At 38.6% G+C, this 5,512-nt stretch overlaps 1 annotated feature.

Moving 5' to 3' along the window:
* Nucleotides 946-2,145: an enhancer, noted in NCBI's record as "BRD4-independent group 4 enhancer chr12:92296093-92297292 (GRCh37/hg19 assembly coordinates)". NCBI's record gives its function as "activates an origin of replication core promoter dependent on BRD2, P300/CBP, MED14 and CDK7 cofactors, and independent of BRD4, by STARR-seq in HCT116 cells {active_cell/tissue: HCT116}" and the evidence as "EXISTENCE:reporter gene assay evidence [ECO:0000049][PMID:35650434]".

The following is a 5,512-nucleotide window of genomic DNA, read 5'->3' as shown; positions in this document are numbered from 1 at the left end:
TCTCCAGGGAAAACATACTTTCAGATTATCCTAAACACAAGATATGAAAAAATTACATTTTTTTTCTTTGAGTAGTTGGTAATAGGTCTAAGTAATTCATTAGGAACCTGCTGGTTCTTTTTCCACTGAAGATGAAAAAAATATTAGATCAAGGCACTAAACTTGTATTTAATTCTTCATATTAAATACAAGCCAGAGTTACATGGGTTATTGTTAGAAAAAAGGCATAGGTACTTTAATCACCTCTACTCCCTGAATCCATGTTCTTACTAAAACCTATCCAGTTTTTAATCCACTGTGTGACTTACATCATTACTTCTCTATTTAAACTGCTCAAATCTTGCCTTCTCAAAGGGTTTTATCCTTGCTATTGAATTCCATAGCCTTCTTTCATCTCATTTAGAATAAAATTATAATTCCTTCCAGAACCTTGAAGATCATACATAATCTTACACAAGACTTTCTCTCCAGTCTTACCTTTTGCCAGTTTACCTCAGCCTCTCATAGGTGTTCAAAGTTGAGTTAGAGAGAAATAATTGTATTAATTTTCAAGAGCTGCCATAGCCAATTACCACAGACTGGGTGGTTTAAACAACAGAATTTTTGTTAAACAACAGAAGTTAATTTTCTCACAGCTCTGGAGGCTAGAGGTCCAAGATTAAGGTGTTGTCAGGGTTGATTCTTTCTGAGGTCTCTGTTTTTGGCTCATAGATGGCTGGCTGCTATGGTTTAAATATTCTTTTCAAAACTCATGCTAAAATTTAATTGCTATTGTAACAGTGTTGAGAGGTGGGTCCTTTAAGAGGTGATTAGGTCAATGCCATTATTGTGGGAATATGATTCTCTCTTTCTCTCTGTCTCACTCTCTCTTACCCTCTCCCATCATGTGATACCTTCTGCCTTTCCAGTGTGTGATGACACAGTAAGAAGGCCTTCACCAGATGCCAAGCAGATATTGTCATCATGCTGTTGGACTTCCCAGTCTCTAGAACTGTGAGCCAAATAAATCTCTCTCTCTCTCTTTTAAATAAATTTCCCAGTCTGTGGTATTCTGTCATAGCAATAGGAAATGGACTAACACATCATCTTTTCCCAGTGTCTTCACATGGTCTTCCCTCTGTGCATGTCTTTGTCTTAATCTTCTCTTCTTGTAAAGACACCAGTCATATTGAACTAGGGTGTGCACATATGACCCCATTTTACCTTAATTATCCCTTTAAAGGTCTTATCTCCAAATACAGTCACATTCTGAGGGTACTGGGGATCAGGACTTTGACATATGAATTCTGAGGAACACTATTCAGACCATAACAATGGAATTCTTTAGATAATTCATGAATATGCTCTGGCAAGTTTGGACATGCCCTGTTAAGATCATAAGGGGCTTGGGAAGAGGTGACAAAAGAAGTGCAAATTCAATGACTCATAGAAGCTTTGAGTGTGACAGAAACTTGGGCAGCTTGTTTTCTTGGCTGACTAGACTGAAATGTCCATTCTTTCCAGAAGATGGTCTTCACAGAGTCAAAGTGAAAAAAGACTAGAGCAGACAGGGATAGTGGTCACTGTACAAAATCAGCAGACTGTCAGGGCAGCCCCATGTCTCTTCAGAAGGTTGGGACAAACTAAAGTGGGTCTCAGGAAGAAACTGCTTCTCATGTTCTCATCAGGAAGTGAGTCTTGTGAAAAATGGCACTGTAAGAAAATACTTTCCCTTCCATTTTTCATAAACTATCCAATGAAATGACTATGCAAATAGCAAGTAACATGATGGATTAGGATAACATTATTAAGGATTTTAGAAACAAACTTTTTCAAGTGGTCCCTGAAAATGCTTCTGAATAAATAAATAAATGCCACATTGTCTAGCTCAGGCAAAACCCCACAGATTTGTCATATTATTAAAAGGAAAATAAAAGGTGGAAAATTTAATGTCCTAAAAGATTTAATGAGGCTGTCTCAAAGACATGAATAAAAGCTCATTTTTAAATTAACTATTGTCTCATGTGGGAAAATAATAAACTGAAACAAACAATAATAAACAAAAAACAAGCATTTTTAAAACAAAACAACAGCATATAATGGATTCTCACAGAGTAGTGACTACAGTCTTCCCATTCAAAGAGGGGGAAACTATAAGCACTTATTGCTTAAGGTATGTTTATTATTGCCCTTTGTCTTACATTGAAATGTGTTTGTATTAGGATATATTTGATGGAATATGCTTCAAAGAGAAAGAGTTAGAGTGCTAACCCTAGAATGCTACAATTTTATTCTACAATTCTCTCAATAGTCCATTGGGAGTATGTTTTGACACAGGCTTCATGAAGCAGTTATCTAAGATATTGAAGCTGGAACTACTGCAAGGAAAATCTTAGAATTTTGTCTGAAAAGAGTCAATAACAGCCTCTGGCTCCCAAACTCTCTTAAAAGGAAAGCTGAGCAACTATGGTTTCTGTGCTGTATTAGTTCATTTCACACTGCTATAAAGATACTACCTGGGACTGGGTAATTTATTAACAAAAGGGGTTTAATTGACTCACAGTTCTGCATGGCTGGAGAGACCTCAGGAAACTTAGAATCATGGTGGAAGGTGAAGGGGAAGCAAGGCAGCATGTCTTACATGACAGCTGGAGAGAGAAAGAGAGAGAGAGAGAGTACAAAGGGGGAACTGCCAAACACTTTTAAAATCATCAGTTCTCGTGAGAACTCACTCACTATCACGAGAACAGCATGAGGGAAACCATCCCCATGATCCAATCACCTCCCACCAGGTCCCAATCCTGACGCATGGGGGATTACAATCTGAGATGAGATTTGGGTGGGGACAAAGAGCCAGACCATATTATTCCACCCCTGGCCCCTTTCAAATCTCACATCCTTCTCACATTTCAAAACCAATCATGTCTTTCCAACAATCCCCCCAAGTCAACTCATTCCAGCATTAACTCAAAAGTCCAAGTTCAAAGTCTCACCTGAGACAAGGCAAGTTCCTTCCACCAATGAGCCTATAAAATAATAAAAAAGTTAGTTATTTCCAAGATACAGTGAAGGTGCAGGCATTGGGTAAATGTTCCTGTTACAAATGGAAGAAATTGGTCAAAACAAAGGGGCTACAGGTCCAATGAAAGTCCCAAACTGAGCAGGGCAGGCATTTAATCTTAAAACTCCCACATTTCCTGTGACTCCATGTCTCCCATTCAGGATATGCTGATGCAAGGGGTGGGCTCCCAAGGCCTTGGGCAGCTCCACTTCTGTGGCTTTGCAGGGTACAGCCCACAGCTGCTTTCATGAGCTGGCATTGAATGTCTGTGGCTTTTCCAAGTGCATGGTGGAAGCTGTCAGTGGATCTACACTCTGGGATCTGGAGGATGGCAGCCCTCCTCTCACAGCTTCTCAAGGCAATGCCCCAGTGGGGACTCTGTATGCAGGCACCAGCCCTACATTTCCCCATTGTCTTGGCTATTAACATTTGGCTCCTCATTACTTAGGCAAATTTTTGCAGCCAGCTTGAATTTCTCCCCAGAAAATGAGTTTTTCTTTTCTACCGCATGGTCAGGCTGCAAATTTTCCAAACCCTTATTCTCTGTTTCCCTTTTAAACAAGTTCCAGTTTCAAACTGTCTTTTTGTGAACGCATATAACTGAACGCTTTCAGAATAAGCTAGGTCACCTTTTGAATTCTTTGATGCTTAGAAATTTCTTCCACCAGATACAATACCTAAATCATCTCTTGAGTTCAAAGTTTTACAGATCTCTAGGGCAGGGGCAAAATGCCACCTGTATCTTTGCTAAAGCATAGCGTGAGTGACCTTTACTCCAGTTCCCAGTAAGTTTCTCATCTCCATCTGAGACCATAACAGCCTGGACTTCATTGTCCATATCACTATCAGCATTTTGGTCAAAACCATTCAACAAGTCTCTAGGAAGTCTAAAACTTTTCCACTTCTCCCTGTCTTCTTCTGAGCCCTCCAAAATATTCCAACCTCTGCCTGTTAACCCACAGGCAGATGCTCCTGTGCTCCAAATGCTCCAAAATCATTTCCACATTTTCAGATTCTTTATAGCAATGCCTCACTCCCAGTACAAATTATCTGTATTAATCCATTTTCACACTTCTATAAAGATACTATCTGAGACTGGGTAATTTATAAACAAAAGAGGTTTAACTGAATCCCAGTTTCCCATGGCTGAAGAGGCCTCAAGAAACTTGGAATCATGGCGGAAAATGAAGGGGAAGCAAAGCATCTCTTACATGGTGGCAGGAGAGAGAGAGAGCAAAAGGGGAATGGCCAAACACTTTTAAAACCAACAGCTCTTGTGAGAACTTACTACTATCATGAGGACAGCATGGGGGAAACTGTCCCCATGATCCAATCCCTGTCCCACCAGGCCCTCTCCTGACATGTGAGGATTACAATTCAAGATGAGATTTGGGGACAGAGAGCCAAACCATATTTAAAGGTGTGCGTGTGCCTGTGGATGGGAGGGTTACTTTACCTTTATCATGAAAACTTGAAGTGAATTCAAATTCTTCATTGACTAAAAGGTTGAGATGCAAATATAATATCTGAGATAAAAAATGGCTTTTTAGAAATGTTCATAATAATTAGACATGCACTGGGATTTATTTGCAGAACAATTTAAAACTTAAGCTTTGTATATTAATTCCTATGAGAATTTGACACATTTTAAATGGTTGCCTAGATTTAAACACAAGGAGATGATTTTGAAAATTACTTTTCTGTTCTAATTTATGCTGAGCTCTATCCAGAGATAATATAGTTGTTATATTCTTTTAAGACATTTAAATCTGCCATTGAGCTTCTTATTGATATGTTTGATGGGCTGATGAGTTATGATGCAAGCAATTAAAGTCTTCTAGACACAATGTTCTGAGAAACTACTTACCATCAAGGCAGCATGAGATCTATTTTTCTAATATTGGGCTAACATGGAAAAGTGTCGCCAGTAAGATTACTTTTCAGGCAAAATTTGTCTTAGAATATAAAAATATCCCTTCTGACTTTCTGATGTTAATAACAAGTCTATGCTTTAATAACAAGTTTAAATCAAGTTTATGTTTAATTCCACTGCCTGGGTTATTCATTACCATGCAGCCTTAATCAGCAGTTAAGATCTTGTGAATAGCACATATTCCAACCTGCACATGAATGACCTTTGTCAAGTCGTTCACCTGCTCTGACACTTGTGTCCTTATCTTTTTGATAAGGGCTTAGACAAGGTTTTCAGTCATTGCTGTGCATCCAAAATAAACTTGGTGTTAGTTAATCTGGGGACAGTCTGAGTATCTCTGCTTGCAAAGCTCCTGAGATGATTTATTTTTGCTGTGAGGGTTGAGAACTACCCAGCTAGATAATGTCAGCCTTCTAGCTCTACTATTTTAAGATTCAAAATTTTTTCTTATACAATGATAGATCATCAGCCTTTATTATTTGAGATATTTGTAGACTTTTGTCCTGGTGAGAGTTTGAAAGTGAGGATTGAAATTTCAC

Source organism: Homo sapiens, chromosome 12 (assembly GCF_000001405.40).
Source record: "Homo sapiens chromosome 12, GRCh38.p14 Primary Assembly".
Lineage (NCBI taxonomy): Eukaryota > Metazoa > Chordata > Mammalia > Primates > Hominidae > Homo > Homo sapiens.
The sequence above is the reverse complement of the archived record's forward strand: the minus strand, read 5'-3'. Positions and strand labels throughout refer to the sequence as shown.